General features: G+C 38.8%; 1 protein-coding gene across 8 annotated transcripts in view; it reads right to left on the bottom strand.

Annotated features, from left to right (window-relative positions):
- Window positions 1–853: 853 nt before the first annotated feature.
- Window positions 854–17,678, bottom strand: part of DCAF10 (DDB1 and CUL4 associated factor 10) — a 67,111-nt gene continuing 50,286 nt past the window's right edge. For 4 of the 8 annotated variants that reach the window (NM_001286810.2, XM_047423866.1, NM_024345.5 and 1 more), the window contains 4 exons: window positions 13,536–13,738; window positions 11,167–11,277; window positions 8,325–8,470; window positions 854–7,378 (listed from right to left, as the gene is read on the bottom strand). In NM_001286810.2, coding sequence (NP_001273739.1) covers window positions 7,010–7,378; window positions 8,325–8,470; window positions 11,167–11,277; window positions 13,536–13,738 — 829 coding nt within the window. In that variant the 3' untranslated portion in view covers window positions 854–7,009. Of the gene's footprint in view, window positions 7,379–7,717; window positions 7,891–8,324; window positions 8,471–11,166; window positions 11,278–13,535; window positions 13,739–17,678 lie in introns of those variants that run through there. The other 4 variants (XM_047423865.1, XM_005251577.5, XM_017015128.2 and 1 more) reach the window with 2 other exon arrangements.

The raw sequence follows: 17,678 nt of genomic DNA, 5'->3' as shown, positions 1-17,678 counted from the left end.
CTTTGTACCCATCATGTCAAAATGATTACATCTAAGTAGGACCAGCTACATAATTTGCAAGCCCAGTACAAAATAAAAATGCAGTGCCCTTGTTCAAAAAGTTGAGAATTTCAAGATGGCTATAGCAAAGCATTAAAGTAAGCATGAGGCCTTTCAACTTTTTTTTTATTTTTTTTATTTTTTTGAGGCAATCTCACTCTGTTGCCCAGGCTGGAGTGCAGTGGTGTGCTCTCAGCTTACTGCAGTCTCAACTTCTTGGGCTCAGGTGATCCTCCCACCTCAGTTTCCCGAGTAGCTGGGACTATAGGTGTATGCCGCCATGCCTGGCTAATTGTGTTTTCATTTTTTGTAGAAATGGGGTCTCATTATGTTCCCCAGGCTGGTCTCAAACTCCCGGGCTCAAGCGATCCTCCTGCCTCGGCTTCCCAAAGTGCTGGGATTACAGGTGTGAGCTACTGCACCCAGCCTACATGGAATCTTTCTAAGTATGGGACACTATGTAACTGCACATGTACAACCTCTTTAAGCCAGCCCTGAATCTAAATCTCTTTCAACTACAGCTATGGAATACCAAGACGATAGTTATCTTTGTCCCTTGAGTTCCCAGTACTAAACTAGGCATATAATAGGGATTCAAATGTTCGTTGAATGAAAAACTGAGTCTTAACTTGCAGTTTTCCAAGTCAATGAGAAATGTTTGCTTGCTTATGGTCAGAACAGATCTTACCCTGATGAATATAGTCTGTTAATTATAATAATAAATGATGGATTCCTCTATTACGGAATAATCTGCACACTGCATTCTGCTGGCTTCATGAGAGCTTCAGGCCATATATGGTGAAGGTTCATTTGATTCATTCAACAAATATTTATTGAACAACTACTCTGTGTCAAGTCCTGTACCAGGCACTGAGGATACAAGAATAAATAAAACAGTCTCTGCCCTCAAGGAGCTTACAGTCTAGCATAAGAACTTAAAACACCTCAGAACCTACTGAGAAAAGTTTCTGGGTATCTAGTATATTGTCTGGAATACTCCAAATTTCCTAAAAATGTGAATCTAAAATTTATCAGGAAACACAGTTGGGCAATTGAAGATGCAGTGAAATTTAAAAGAAAATTCAAATATTCACCCTTTATGTAAAAACCATGAAATCTAAATGAGGGAGAAACTTAAGAAAGCTGAAAATCTACCTATTTTAAAGACTTTGGACCAGATTTAAACTTTAAAAATTATTTTATTATCTCTGGGTGACATTTTCATTTATAGTGGCATTTATATATACACATACATATAGGAGGTGAATGTGAGATATATTCCTTAGGGCTTTTGATAAAACCCATATCTTTATCCCTAGTTCATTTACAAGAGAGCAGCGTAATGGTAACTTTGAGATTTTCCTTTTGACAGTAATTTCCATTATCATTTGAATGGGAGAAATTCTTAGGACATGATTTGGAATCATTTCTAGAATATAAATTTCATATAATCTTATTTTATAATGAGACAAAACTGTGTCTTTGTAACAATACGTGATAATTTAAGCCTATGTTTTAATGGTTATTGACAAAGTTTAATGGCATCCAAAATACTCTTATGTCTATCTGAATTTTTTTCCTGTACTCTTCTTTTTTCTTAAAAGCATGATAGACCCCTCTGCAAATACAGAGCCTTTGTTGTTGCTTTGCTGTACTTTGGTACCTTGCTGTTTATTCCTTAGTCTAGCAGCATCCTTAGTTTGTAGTATATCTTACTTAGTTGCAACTAAAAAAAATTGCTAGCCTAGGCTTTAACTGGGAGTTTCTATTATCTAGAAGGTTACTGTGAACCTTTCAGAAAAGTGGAAAGCAACCAAAAGAGCTGTCTCAAAGACTGTGTCCCCCCAGAGTTTGTCCAGCTCTTACTGTAGACACTCTGAACAGGCACGGTTATCTCATGTCCAAAGCTCATAACAGCACATTAGAAGAAAGTGGGGAGCCTGTTAGAAGCAGGCATATTGATAGTGTGGGAGAAGACATAGCAAATTACTTAGCAGATATTTTAAAAATTTTAAAATCCAACAGCAGTCTGAGGCAAATGATTCTGTATACCTCAGGGCTGAGAGAATCACTTTATAACATATTTGTTATAGCCCTTTACATTTTATGAAGTGTTTTACATACATCAGAGCTGGATACTTATAATAATACATTATGAATATAACTTTAACTTTTCATCATGAAAATGTGAATTATACTGAGCATGATGTTTAAGAAGAAGGCAGGAAGGTATACTAACATACCTGAAATACTCACATCAAAAATAATTACAAGTTTTAAATGTTGGCACTTGAGAGATATACATTAGCTATCCAAAAATTCATATGTACGGTTTCCTTCAAGACCAACACGGGGTATCACTGAGTGAATTTTCACAGCGCTCAGTGACTGCTGGTCATTAAATGGGGATGATTGTCATCAGTATAAGTATCACACTATTTGTCCTGCTAAATGCAAGTTAAAAGATACTTATGGATGCCACTACCACATATTCTGACAAATAAGGGAAACACTAGGCTTTTAAAAGATTCTTAGAGTGTTTTCCCTATATTGCACTTTCTAGATAACACAATTTTAACAATGATATAATGTGATCTTGGTTCTAGACACAGCAGTGGGGAACACATGAATTTACCTTTTTCTTGTTCCTTTTCTTAAAGTTTTTAGTATAGTCTCAGGAATATAGCAAGGAGAAATAACAAAATATACATGTGCTTTGGGCTTCTGAGGAAAAAAGACCACCCACACACATTTTTAAAAGACTAAAATAGACGTCTCTTCTGCTTTAGCCATTTCATTTTCACAACTGAAAATAAGGAACTACTATATATTTGATGTCCCTAACTCATTAAACATAGCATTGCCATAAATGCACTGTTCTGCGGAAAACTTTTTAAAACAGTAGAACAATTTGTACTGCATTTACTAACAATTATACTACATTACCAATTATCATGAATTATGAATAAAAATTACTGAATAAAATTCAGAGTAAAAAACATCAGATTAGATTTTACTCTTAAGTGAAATGGGGCTTTGAAATGTTAAGATGTAATTTCTTCCAATACTATAGCATTCCTAATGCCCTTTAATTCCTTGATTAATATTCCTTGCTAACTTTTTGATCATCACCATATCTCAAGGAGGACAAAGGTTCTTTTGAGTTTGCTGGCTGTTAATTTTTAATTCTCATCTGTGTGGCTCGGTTTTTTTTCACAATGCCGTTTATCCTTAATTTTTCTTTTCTATTTTATAGCTGCTTATTCTGCTTGAAGTTTTTTAGTCAGGAATGGCCAGAATGTGTGCCCTGAGTTTATGATATTCTCATGGAAATTGTTAATCTTATGAATTTTTTTTACATGATACACACGGTAAGCTAGCTCTATAATTAAAAAAAAAAAATCCAGAAGATACTAAACAAATAACAGGCCAGCTTACCATACTTTACAAACTAAAGAGCACAATGGTAAAGCAGTAAGCACAGGCTTTGGACAAGACACAAACCTGGGTTTGAATCCCAGTGCTGCCACTCACTGCTAACTCTATGACTTAAGGCAAGTCATTTAATCTTTCTGACCCACTATTACCTCCAAATTAAATTGGGGCTCATTCCACCTACCCTGCAAGTTTTTGTGAGGGTTAGTAGTGAAGTCTGTATATTATTTGACACATGATAGGTACTCTATAGTAAAGAATCATTGGCTGAATTTTGAGTTGGGTAACTTGCTGGTCTAGCATCTGACATGAACTCTTTCCAGAGTTGATACGATTTATGAAACTTCTTTTGAATGTCAATATGACCACAGTACTTGGTAGGTATTTTTAAATAATAACAGTTTGGGTGTTTTCACCTCCAAAACTAATTTTATTTTATTTTATTTTTTTTTTTTTTTTTGAGGCAGAGTCTCGCTCTGCTGGTCAGGCTAGAGTACAGTGGTGCGATCTCGGCTCACTGCAACCTCTGCCTCCCAGGTTCATGCGAGTCTCCTGCCTCAGCCTCCTGAGTAGCTGGGATTACAGGCACCTGCCACCACGCTTGGCTATGATTTTTGTATTTTTGGTAGAGACAGGGTTTCACCATGTTGGCTAGGCTGTTCTCAAACTCCTGACCTCAAGTGATCCACCCACCTCAGCCTCCCAAAGTGCTGGGATTACAGGCATGAGCCACCATGCCCAGTCTATTTTTATTTTTTGAGACAGGATCTGGCTCTATTGCCCAGGGTGGAGTGCAATAGTGCAATCTTGGCTCACTGCAGCCTCTGCCTCCCAGGCTCAAACCATCCTCCCACCTCAGCCTCCTGAGTAGCTAGGACTACAGGCGTGTACCAACATGCCCATCTAATTTTTGTATTTTTGGTAGAGATGGGGTTTCGCCATGTTGCCCAGACTGGTCTGGAACTCCTGGGCTCAAGTGAACCTCCCACCTTGGCCTCCCAAAGTGCTGGGATTACAGACGTGAGCCACCATACCCATCCCTATTTTCTTTAAAAAATGTGTTTTTTACAAAATGTATGGTAAGTATATGTATTTACTGTGCTTTGTGATAATTTTCTCAGTGACAAAAAATTTCCAATTTTGTTAACATCCATGGTAAAATGATCTAATTTCAAAAATTTGTTCTAGAGCCAAGATCCTTATAACCTCTATAAATGTGTGTGAATAGTTAGTTGGCAGGTCCTACAAAGAAATGTCATTTTTATTCATGTATTTTGGGTTGTTTAAACATTTCTGTAAGATTTAAAATACTTTTCTTCTTATGGCTAGAATTCTCAGCATCTACTCCCATGCCTGCCTTTCTAAAATCTATTGGCCAGTTTAAGGGTATTTACAATAATACAACTTAAAGACAAAGTGTCCATAAGTCATTATTTCTAACAGACAGCATAACACAGTAGAAATTGCCCTGACCAAGGAATTAGAAGACTGGAATTCAAGTCCTAACTCTGCCACTAACTTTGCAGGATGACCTTAGGCAAGTCATGTCACTTCTCTCATTTGTCAAATAATGCAAATGATTCCATTCTAAGGTATTTTCCACCTCTAAAATTGCTTTCATTTACTATTATTATTTTTTAAATAATGAAAACACTTTCTGGGAATTGTCTTAAGCCCAAATGGGTAGAGAAGAATTTTTTTTTTTTTTTTTTTTTTTTGAGACAGAGTCTCGCTCTGTCGCCTAGGCTGGAGTGCAGTGGTGCAATCTCGGCTTACTGCACCCTCTGCCTCCCGGGTTCAAGTGATTCTCTTGCCTCAGCCTCCTGGGTAGCTGGGATTACAGGTGAGCACCACCACGCCCGGCTAATTTTTGTATTTTTAGTAGAGATGGCGTTTCACCATGTTGGTCAGGCTGGTCTCGAACTCCTGACCTTGTGATCCACCCACCTCGGCCTCCCAAAGTGCTGGGATTACAGGCATGAGCCACTGCGCCTGGCCGAGTAGAGAAGAATTTACTGCTGATTAAGGTTGTGTTTTTCAACCTGCAATCCCGAGACCCTCAGAATAAAGATTACTTGAGGTTGCTATGAAAAATACAGATTCCTGTCCTCCCCCTGGCTGAATCAGAATCTCATAAGGTGAGGCTCAGGTTTCTGCACTTTTCACAAGCTCTGTAATGGTTACAGTGCACCCTAATGTTTGAGAACCAGTGGCCTAAAGAGAATGCAACCTAAGAGGGCAAGGCTAGTGCATAGCTTAAATCGCTCCAGCCTTTGGTAATCCCTTCTAAACACAGTACCACCCATGTGGAGGAGACTGCAAGGAAGCTGTTATTCAAAGTAGAACAGTCAGCCTTGTGCTTGAGTCCTGCTTTATGCTTGCGTGTTTCATAACAAAACACAAAGGCAAGTCTTCATATCAGCACTTAGTCTTGATATCCAAGTAGCTGACTACTGTACTTATGATAACAGCTTGAAGAGGACTGCAACTCTCCCCTCACGAATGGTGACAGAGTTGGCTTGTCACACCTGGCTCAGGGAAGAAAAATGAGTAAACCCCTACCTCTTTACTCTTGATTCCTCTTCCACCCTAATACTGTTAACACATCATCCTGTGTGATTCAAATAATCTGGCAGATGAAATACAGAAAATCTAAGTCATATTGTTCTTATCACTCTATGGCCAGATATTATACTAATCTAATTTTAAAAATCCTTTTCTGTGCAATAGAAATAACCAAAGCTCATTCTGTCTCCTTTCCTTTCTAATGCTGTTGATAGGAACAAAATATCAAGTAAGGATACATGCTAGAGATGTTAAATTCATACAAGTAAAGTAAATTACAAAGAGAGGTGGTAATATTTTTTTCTAGAATTTCACAATAAAATCCCTCTCACCATGAAAATCTTTTTATAATTTTAACAGGAAACTTAAAAGACATTTTGTTGCAAGACTATCTTAACAATTATAAGAATAATGCCATTATCTGTGCTCAATATAGATAAACATAACAGTAACTTTAAAAGGCCAAGTATACTCATAAGTGAGGATGAAATTTATTTTTCAACAACCAATATGCCAATATCCAACTTCTAGGTTTTATTCAATTCTAATGTCATGGGTTTCTCCTACCCCAGTCAAAACTCCTGCCAAATGTCCACAAAATTGACACCAAAATCAACAAACACAAAGAAAGAGAGGGACAGGGAGAGGGAAAGAGAAATAGAGAGTGAGGAAGGAAGGAACGTGACAAGAGCTACCATGCAAAATGACCAGAAGAACTGGAGTTCAGTGGCACAGATCAGCAGGAGCAGAGGAATGCTGCAAAAGATGATGCTGCATAGAGTCTAACTTGGAGATGCCTGTATGATGCTGGATGACCAAGTACTAAGGTCACAAGTGTGTTCATGGACCCATAAGAACCAGGATCTTGACCCAAACTTATAAGATCTTCTAAAAAGAAAATACTTCATCTAAATTGAAGCAATTCCTAAGTCAAACACCAGAAGAGTTCCTTATTTGATGTAAGTTGTGCCTAAAACTTTGGCTGATACAAAGAAACCCGTCCACTAAGGCACCCTGAGGCAATCTGACAATGTGTTGGAGAGAACTTTGTTGTCAGTACCACATCATTATGAGAGTACAGAGAACGGATCACCCGCAGGGGACTGGCTTCTTTGGGCAAGCAGTCAACAAGTTCACTGCACTGTTTGTCAAATCCCAACAAGCGAATCCCATAGCCATGTGGGGAAGAAATCATTCGTCCATCGGGGCTGAAGCAAAGTTCTTTGATGTAACCCCTGCCTACATTGGCTTCTTCAATGTAATGAGTCAGTCGTAGAGAACAGCGAGGTGAGACAGGTCGCACTGGAGCTCCTTCTTGGAATTCATAGACACAAGTACACTAGGGGGAGAGAAGGGAGACAAACCAAGGTTACAGAGCCCAAATAGTGCTACAGATATTCCTTATTTTTAAAAAGCTCAACAGATTGCCAAAGCCACAGAATTTTTACAAGAAATCACTCAGAATAATGCTATCCCCCTCCCAACTAACAAAACTTGTAGGCCCCCTACTTTCTTATCTTCATAAGCTGAGGTTATTCTGTGTTATGATGCTTTAAAGCCTTTTGTTCCCTGAGGCTGCCTGTGACTTTTGCAGTAATACATTCTCTTTTCTAAGGGCAACAACAATGTTGATATTTTAAAAATTCCTGGAGTACATCCAAGCCCTAGAGTATCTTACCTCTTCCCCTACACAATTCAAAGGCTCTTCTCTTCTCTCCTTTCAGTTGTGGCCTCTAGGACCAGTGAGATCCTTGGAAGACTCTTGCTTTCCAGAGTGATGAGAATCATAAAGTCATTTAACACCTTTCCCCCTAGTCATCAGTATAGTCCCTTCCTTTCCCAGAGTTTCCCCTGGTTTTTAAAAAAAGAAAATTATGATACTCAATTGGCTTAGTAAAATCTCACATTTAGCCAGCTTAGCTGAAACATTTCAGACCTATGTTTATTATACAAGGGGTTTTTGTTTGTTTGTTTGTTTGTTTGTTTAGGGTGAGATGAAAGAGGCAAGATTTAAGAAGCTGGGCAAAAACTGAGCTGATGCTGGCCTTTAAAGTACCTCCCACCTTGCTCAACCCCAGCAGGAGAGGAATAAGAAGAGTTTGGAAGGGATAATGATACCATATGAAGCAAGAGAGGACAGAAACAGGAGAGTCGAGAAGCAGGATCTCTAGCAGTATGCCCTTGAAGGCAGAGACTGCAGTCAGCGATCGGCCTAAGCTCTGCACACACGGCAATGGCAATTTGTCCAATGAGCCCTGTTGAAGGTGGAGTGCTGCTGCCTGTACCTCCTCATCATCACTGTTGCTTGAGCACCGAAGAAGAGTGGCCCAGCCTTTTGGGTGCAGCTGTAAGGACGTGATGCAGTTTCCGTGGTCACTCTCACCAAGAACTTCAGGGGTTACGACTTCAAGACTATTTCGTGGTGAAACTCCTGAGATATAAGAAAATGAGGATGTGGGATTTGTATTATCAAAAAACTAAGGCAGTTCATCAAAGCTTTTTATTTCTGGCAGCCACCTCCCATGCCGTCATTCCTTAGTCTGCCCCTTATGCTACCATATGTTAAAGAGCGTGGTACTCCCCAATGTATGGTGTGTGAGTTTTGGCGGGGTGAAGGTGTGGGGAAAGGGTATAAATAGAACAAAAGATCCAAGTTCCCACAGCAGTAATTGTCACTGACCTAAGGCTAAGGCATAGAAGCTGACTAGGGGTTCTTTTATTTGGATCTTACATCTCAGAAAGCTCTTTATTTAAGTAAGAACCAAAGTTATGTGACATGAAAGGACTCTAGAAAGGTAAAAGGTAACAATTCTCCTCTCATTGGTCCTGGTGCTTTCTGGTCCAGAGAAGGAAATACTTGGAAGCCATGAGGATTGCCTTTTAAGCAAATAAAAAGATCAGGACTTAAGCACCTGCAATAACAACACTATAAACAAAAAATAAAATGTTGGAGGTAAGAAAGGACACCTCACATAAAGGCATGTCAAAACAAGGGATGGGAGACATTGCCAATCATAGACTCTACTATGCCTCATCATTTCCTTCTACCTAACTCCCAATGAAAATGACTGCTGGAGTAAGGCACTGTTAATAATAGGAATATGTTATATCCTTCAGGTGCGTGAAAAACCACTTTCATAGACACTGTAAGGAAGCAACTTAGAAATTTAATAGCAAGAGAAATATTTCAACACTTCTCTGACTGTGGAAGGAGTTATTTTGAAGGTATTGAGCTCCCTCTGTCAGATCCTTTGTGAATTGCTTGTCAAGCAGATGTGTTACCTTCTTTCTAAAGATTCCCTTCAGATTACTACATCATTAACAGAAACCTGTGAAGCTCTAAATTACACTGCTATAACAAAACTATACTGAAATAACTATTTCACATATGATTGAACTTTAACAATTTTAGAGAAAAATATACTCTTATTTTAAGAATTAATTTGGAAAACCTATAACAAAACCAGACAAGAAATGCATTCTAAGTAGGTGGTTTGCTAACTGTGCTCCTTTGGGGTTCCTCAGGAGATGGCAAAAGTGGGGAACCACGTGTGGGCTGAGGTGTAGATGGAGTGGGGAAGGCTGGAGGGTCAAGAGCCTCCCTAATTTTTCTTGAACCAGAGCTACTTTGATTTTATTTGTGCTACATCTCTAAGAATCCACAGCAGATTTCATGTCAAAAATAGAGTTCTAATGCTGAAATGCATTTGAAAGCCTCTGCTCTATACAGCTATTATATCTGCCAAAGGATAGTGTTAACATACTCTGACATCTGAAGATCCAGGATTTCCAACATTTAGAGCAACTTCACCTATAAGCCCCACCTTCTCCCATGTTTTCCCTCTCTTTTCACCCTCTCATTTTCCTCTTCTTCCCAGCCTCCTCATATATCATCTCTTCCCTCATTCTTAACTCTCTGTGGCATAGAACTGCTGTATATTTGTGTTTGTGTGTTTACCACTGGTCAATAACAAGCAAGCATGTTAACTATTCTTCTTAAATTAAGTTTCTTTTTCTTGTGGATGGTGTAGTCAATCAATAAAGATTTTTCTCAATGATTATTAGAAGCCTTGACTTGTTTCCCATAGCACAAGTGGAAGGAGAACAGGAAGAATCTGCAAAAGATGTTTGTGTTACAAATCAAAGGAAAAATGTTATACTTCTGGGCATAAATCTTTAAATTTAAGAGGAGGAGCCTTTAACCTTAAAGTGAAATATCACAGACTTCAATATCCAGAGGCAAGTGGATAGGCCATATAGGTTAGAAAGAGCTCTTAAACCATTCTACTGACATAAGTAGCCATGCAAGATAACCAGCATCTACTAGGCAAAGCCACCCAGTGAAAACACAAATTAGAAGTCTAAGATTTAGTCTCTGCCCAAAATAACAAGGTAGAGAAATGTCTATCTCCAAAAGTGACCCAAAATGACAAAAAAAAAAGCAAGCCATCTCTGGCTCTTAATACTCAGTTCACAAAGAGAAGAATAAACAATGAATGGTATAAGAGCTTAGACGTCAGTTAGTATGAAGAGGAACAGTATGTGGAATTTGTATAGGCAGAAACCATTTCAACTGGGGGGGTGTGGTGGAAGGTATAGGGCAGAGCAACTAGTTCTGCCAGAATGGCTAGGAAAAAACTGGGAAATACAGAGAGGAGCCAGATGGTAGCTCACTTTATCCTACAAACCCTTGGAAGCTGTCAGGCATTGCACAGACAAGGAAATGGCAGAGCAAAAAGTCTGAGGGTAACCAGGTGACTTTCACAATTACCTGAAAATTCATGACTTATATTTATACAGAGCTTTCACGTGCATAATCTCACTTAATTTTCACAACAATCTTGATTGAAATCTATATTTCTGAACTACTTCCTCTCCAAACTAGACCAAACTAAGTCCAGCTAATAAAACCAAAGCTCAAGTTCTATTAAGATTTAACTCAAGATATTCAACCCCAGGGACTCTCGGTTAGCTTTTTGAAGATGATGACTGAGGGATAAATCACCTCATCTCCATTGCTTTTATTTTTATGGATTAAAACCATAAAACTGGTTTTAATCAATCAATAATTAATCAGATTGGCATAATCTGTTGTTACAAGATTATAAAATCCAACTTTTAACCTACCTTCTCTTTGAGAGGCTCGTGACATGTGTTTCTCAGAAGAATTAGAATCACTATGATGACAAGGTGAGCCAGAAACTCTAGGACCAGATGAACTTGATGAAGTGGTCAAATCTTAAAAATATAAAAAATTCTGACAATAAACCTAGCATAACTCTGGTAGTGGCTCTTAACTTTTTAATTATCTACTCGAACCATAGTTTTAAAATTTTGAAAAAATGCTCATATATCACTGGCCTATAAGACTGAGGAAGGCAAGACAGCTCTTTGAAGTGTTCTAAGATCTAGTCCCTTTCTGAATCTTTTATATCAAAGACTTGACTATGTGAAATAAAAATGAAAAACCAAATAATCATAGGAGCGTCTTTGGATCCTCATGATTTCTGTACTAAAATGGAACCCAAAAATTCCATGAAAATGAAAACTAAGCTCTTAAGCCTATTGTTTTATGTTAAAATAGGGTCCAAACAACAGGCCCATTACCAGAAACATGAAGAGATTCTTCTTTAAAGTATACCAAAAACTTCCATTATCATTCTTGAAATTACGTGAATAGTCTTTTTTTTTGAGACAAGGATCTTGCTATGTTGCCCAGGCTGGACTCCTAATTCCTGGGTTCAAGTGATCCTCCTGCCTCAGCCTCAGCCTCCTGAGTAGCTGGGCCTAAAGGCATGCACCACTGTGCCAAGTTTATGTGAATACTGTGAAATGTGACATAAAGTTTACATTGAAAAAAATAAAATGAGTATCAGGTAGTGGAGTCTGATATATTACTCCAAATAGCAGTGTCTATTTCATCATCACATTTTGCTAGTGGTCCCATACCTATGTTAAGAATTCTTACTAGTCTAATTTCCTGTAATGTTATTTAGTATCAGAATTACCATTAGAAAACTGAAAACCTTGTTGGTTTTTGAGTTGAAATAGGCCAACTAGACATTCAAAATCACTATTTCTCACTAAGTTAGAGTTGCTTATCATGTTTAACTTAAAAGGCAAATTTGAATCTCAAAGGATTATACTCGTATATTTATGAAATCCCTTGTTTGCAAGTAAGTTGGTAAAACTTAAATTTCTACTTTTGACAGTTATGCCAGGCACTGCAGTACAATGATGTCTGTACTTTCCCAAAGGAATTTTCAGAAGTGGTCCTGTGCACAAGGAGAAAGATTCCAACCTTTTTTTTCATTTCCTTTTTTTTGGACACAGGGTCTTTCTCTGTTGCCCAGGGTGGAGGGCAGTGGGGCACAATCATGGCTCACTGCTGCCTCAACCTGCCAGGCTCAGGTGATCCTCCTGCCCCAGCTTCCTGAGTAGATGGGACTACAGATGCATGCTAGCATATCTGGCTAATTTTTGTGTTTTTCGTAGAGACAGGGTTTCACCATGTTGCCCAGGCTGGTCACAAACTCCTGGGCTCAAGCGATCTGCTCACCTCAGTCTCTCAAAGTGCTAGGATTACAAACGTGAGCCACTGCACCTGGCTAAATTTTTAAGTTATTTGTAGAGATGAGGTCTTCCTATGTTGCCCAGGCTACCCTTGAGTTCAACTCCTGGGCTCAAGCGATCCTCCCACCTTGGCCTCCCAAAGTGATGGGATTACAGGTGTGAGCCCCCGCACCTGGCCCCAACCATTCAAAGCTGCCTTTTAATAGCAATTTATTAGCATTCTATGTTCCAAATGCTTAAGTCTTTTTTCCCCTGGATTTTTGTTTATAATGTAAATGATGGGTATGTCCCCACACCAGTCCCCTCTTTCCCAAAGGTAGATGAAATATAGTCTTTTTTAAATCACATAATGTTGATAAAATACAATACGTACATTTTTCTGAACCCTAAATTCTCTTAAGTCTAACAAAATCAGCAATGGGAGAAGAGACAGAGTTTTAGCAAAAGAGCGTTTAGAGAGTAATGAGATAAGATGGCACCAGCTACCTGTGTCTGGACATCTGTAAGTCTAGGATACAGATAAAACTAAAACTCTATATTGACCATAATTTAATAAAAGCTCTGCTTGATTCCAGAAGGACTTAAGACCTTGTGCCATCACTAATTTTTGAGATAGTGATGATTCAAAATTACTGATGAAAAGATCCTGTGGCTAGCATAAAGCTAAAAGAAAATACTTTAGGGTCAGCAGTTATTCCTCCTAGTCCATTTGTGATTCAGAGGTACATATGAATGATATGTCAGAGATACATACAAATCATTATACTTGCTTAGATAAAAACCCATCAATGAGCTTTCTAAAGAATGCCTTTTAAAAAACTGTCTTCCCTTTTCCTGCTATCATTTTCAGAAAAGAAACCTATACCATCTCTATGTTTGAGATTCTCGAGAAAAATCTTTTTGACCAAAAAAGAAAAGCTTACCTGAACTTGAAGTAGTTCTTCTTGCTCTTAAAATGGGATAGCTGCCTACTTCTAAAGACTTAGTTAAGTCAAGGTCATGCAAAATTAAGAGATATCCAGAGGACGTTGAAATCAACATTTTGGAACAATCTGGTGTTAACCTCATTCGCATGAGAAAACGTGTGTGAAAGAATTTCTTATGTGGACACCCATCTTCTGTATACCTACAGGAGAAACCAAGCCAACAAAATCTAGAGTTATCATAAATATAACGGTTCAGTAATAATCATATTTTTTGCCCTTCAAAATAAAATGTAGGGAGGATGAGAAGAGCTTGGTCAATGGGCTCAAAATTACAATTAGGAGGAATAAGTTCTAGGGTATTAATATTGCACAGTAGGGTGATGACGGTTAATAGTAAGATACAGTATATTATAAAATAGCTAGAAGAGCGACTGTTACATGTCCTTACCACAAAGGAATGATAAGTGCATGCTAATACTGATTTGCTCATTATACAACATATATGTGTCAAGACATCAAATTGTACCCTGTAAATATGTGCAGTTACAATGTGTCAATTAAAAAATATTTGAGGCCAGGCATGGTGGCTCATGCCTGTAACCCCAGCACTTTGAGAGACCAAGGCAGGAGGATTGCTTGAGCCTAGGAGTTCAAGACCATCCTGGGCAAGATGGTGACCCCATCTCTACAAAAATTTAAAAAATTAAAATAAATTAGCTGAGTGTGGTGGTGTGCACTCATAGTTCCAACTACTCAGGAGGCTGAGGTGGGAGGATCACGCGAGCCTGGGAGTTTGAGGCTGCAGTGAGCTATGATCACACGACTGCACTCCAGCCTGGGTGACAGACAGACAGACCCTGTCTCTATTCAAAAAAAAAAAAATTGAAACTTCAAAAATGAGATGTCTTTCCAATAAATTTTACTTTTTATGTTAATAATTATTATTTAAAATAATACATGTTGTTTTAATCAATTGTGGACTAATAATATTGTAATGATCATTAAATCCAGAAGAAATGTAACACTAATAGCCCTGTGGTCACAGAAAACAATTTTTAAAATTAATGTCAGTTTACGTGCATATTTTTGATGCCAATAAGAATGATCAGTAGGCTAGGGGTGGTGGCTCACACCTGTAATCCCAACACTTTGGGAGGCTGAGGCGTGAGGACAGATGGAGCCCAGGATTTCAAGACCAACCAGGGCAACATAGCAAGACCCTGTCTCTACAAAAAATAAAAAGTTAGCTGGAGACTGAGGTGCGAGGATGGTTTGAGCCTGGGATGTGGACGGTGCAGTGAGCCATGATTGCGCCACTGCACACCAGCCTGAGCATATAACAGGATATAATTCTATGAGAAAATATAATGAAAATGAGTACCAGAAGAAAAAGTTGTAAAACTTCCAGCTGTTAAAAAAAATAGAATTTACAGTCAATGTATATTGAGATTTACATACATGCTTAACAATCTTTTTGCTCATCATTCCTTCGTTCATCTCCAAAATTCCTTTTTTGATCCTTTCTTTCTGAAGTATATCCCTCAGAATTTTTTTTTTTTTTTTTTTGAGATGGAGTTTTGCTCTTGTCGCCCAGGCTGGAGTGCAATGGTACTGTCTCAGCTCGCTGCAACCTCTGCCTCTCGGGTTCAAGCGATTCTCCTGCCTCAGCCTCCCAAGTAGCTGGGATTACAGGCACGCACCACCACACCCATGCCTGGGATTACAGGCATGAACCACCATGCCCGGCCAGAATTTTTTAAAGTTAGACTTTGTTGAGGTAAATGCTCTCGCTTTTTATTGTTCTGAAAATCTTTTTTTTTTTTTTTTGAGACGGAGTTTCACTCTTGTTGCCCAGGCTAGAGTGCAATGGCGCGATCTTGGCTTACTGTGAACTCCGCCTCCTGGGTTTAAGCGATTCTCCTGCCTCAGCCTTTAAAAAAAATAAAATTTTTTAATGGTGTACATGATGTTTCAAATATGTATATATTGTGGAATAGCTAAATCAAGCTAATTTATATATATATATATATATATATATATATATATATAACCTCACATACTTAACATTTATGATGATAACACTTAAAATCTACTTTTAACAAATTTCAATTATATATAATAACAACAGTAAATTGTCATTAACAGTGGTCATCATGTTGTACAATATACATCTCCCAAGTAGCTGGGATTACAGGCACCTGCCACCACATCCAGCTAATTTTTCACATTTTTAGTAGAGACGGGGTTTCACCATGTTGGCCAGGCTGGTCTCAAAATCCTGACCTCTGGTGATCCACCGCCTTGGCCTACAAAAGTGCTGGGATTATAGGCGTGAGCCACCATGCCCAGCCTGTTCTGAAAATCTTTATTTCACTCTTTTAAGAGACTGGGTCTCCCTCTGTTGCCCAGGCTGGGGTGCAGTGGCATAATCATAGCTCACTATAACCTCAAATTCCCAGGCTCAAGGAATCTTCCCACTTCAGCCTTCCGAGTAGCTGGAACTACAGGTGTGCACCACCACTCCTGGCTAATTTTTAAATTTTCTGTAGAGATGGGGTCTTGCTGTGTTGCCCAGGCTAGTCTTGGAACTCCTGGTCTCAAGTGATCCTCCCACTTCAGCCTCTCAAAGTGCTGAGATTATAAGTATGAGCCACTATGCCCAGCTCAACTCATCTTATTGAATAAAGGTTTAGCTTAGCATATAATTTTAGGTCGTTGTTTCCTTCTGAATATTTAGGATAATTTTCCACAGAGTTCTATTTTCCATTGTTACTATTTGTGAGTCTGCTATTAGTCTGACTATTACTTTGCGTAATTTATCTTTTTTCCCCCCTCTGGTGAATCTTCTCTCTGTCTTTAGAGTACTGCAATTTCACTGGTATATGTAAATTTGGATCTCTTTTTATTTATCTTTACTGGGATTCATTTGACTTTCCAAGTCTTAAGATTCGTATTATTCATATATTCTGAAAGTTTCTCAGTCATTATTCCAATATTGCCTCTCACTGATTTTCCCTATTCTTTTAGAGCTCCAAATATATGTATGAAACATTCATGTTTGACTCTCCTTTTCTTATAACTTGCTTCTTTATATTTTCTATCTTTTCATTTCAGTATCTTTTTCATATTATATTCTGGGTAACTTTTCAATATCTATTTTCATATATATTTATTTATTTATTTATTTATTTTGAGACAGAGTCTTACTCTGTCGCCCAATGCAGTGGCATGATCTTGGCTCACTGCAACCTCTGCCTCCCAGGTTCAAGCGATTCTCCTGCCTCAGCCTCCCGAGTAACCGGGATTACAAGCGCCTGCCATCACGCCCAGCTAATTTTTGTATTTTTAGTAAAGATGGGGTTTTACCATGTTGACCAGGCTGGTCTCAAACTCCTGACCTCAAGTGATCCACCCGCCTCGGCCTCCCAAAGTGCTGGGATTACAGGTGTGAGCCACTGTGCCCAGGCAGTTTATGCCCTTTATTTTAAAATTTGCTTATTGGCTAGGTGCAGTGGCTCATGCCTGTAATCCCAGCACTTTGGGAGGCCGAGGTGGGACGATCACTTGAGCCAGAAGTTAGAGACCAACACGGGCAACATAATGAGACACTGTCTCTATGAAAAAATGCAAAAGTAGCCAGGCAGAGTGTCACACCTGTGGTCCCAGGTACTTGAGAGGCTGAGGTAGGAGGATGGCTTGAGCCCAGGAGGACAGGGTGGTAGTAAACTATGATTGTGCCACTATATTCCACTCTGTCGCTCAAGCTGGAGTGCAGTGGCACAATCTCGGTTCACTGCAGCCTCCTCCTCCCAGGTTCAAGCAATTCTCCTGCCTTAGCCTCCCAAGTAGCTGGGATTACAGGTGTGTGGCACCACACCCGGCTACTCTTTGTATTTTCAGTACAGACAAGGTTTCACCATGTTGGCCAGGCTGGTCTCGAACTCCTGATCTCAAATGATCCACCCGCCTTGGCCTCCCAAAGTGCTGGAATTAGAGGCATGAGCTACCGCACCAGGCCTAAAAAAATGAGTTTTTTTAATGGTGTACATGATATTTGAAATATGTATATATTGTGGAATGGCTAAATCAAGCTAATTTATATATATATATATATATATATATATATATATATATATATAT

This window comes from Homo sapiens, chromosome 9, assembly GCF_000001405.40.
Source record: "Homo sapiens chromosome 9, GRCh38.p14 Primary Assembly".
NCBI lineage: Eukaryota > Metazoa > Chordata > Mammalia > Primates > Hominidae > Homo > Homo sapiens.
Note: the sequence above shows the minus strand (reverse complement) of the source record. Positions and strands in the feature narration are given on the sequence as shown.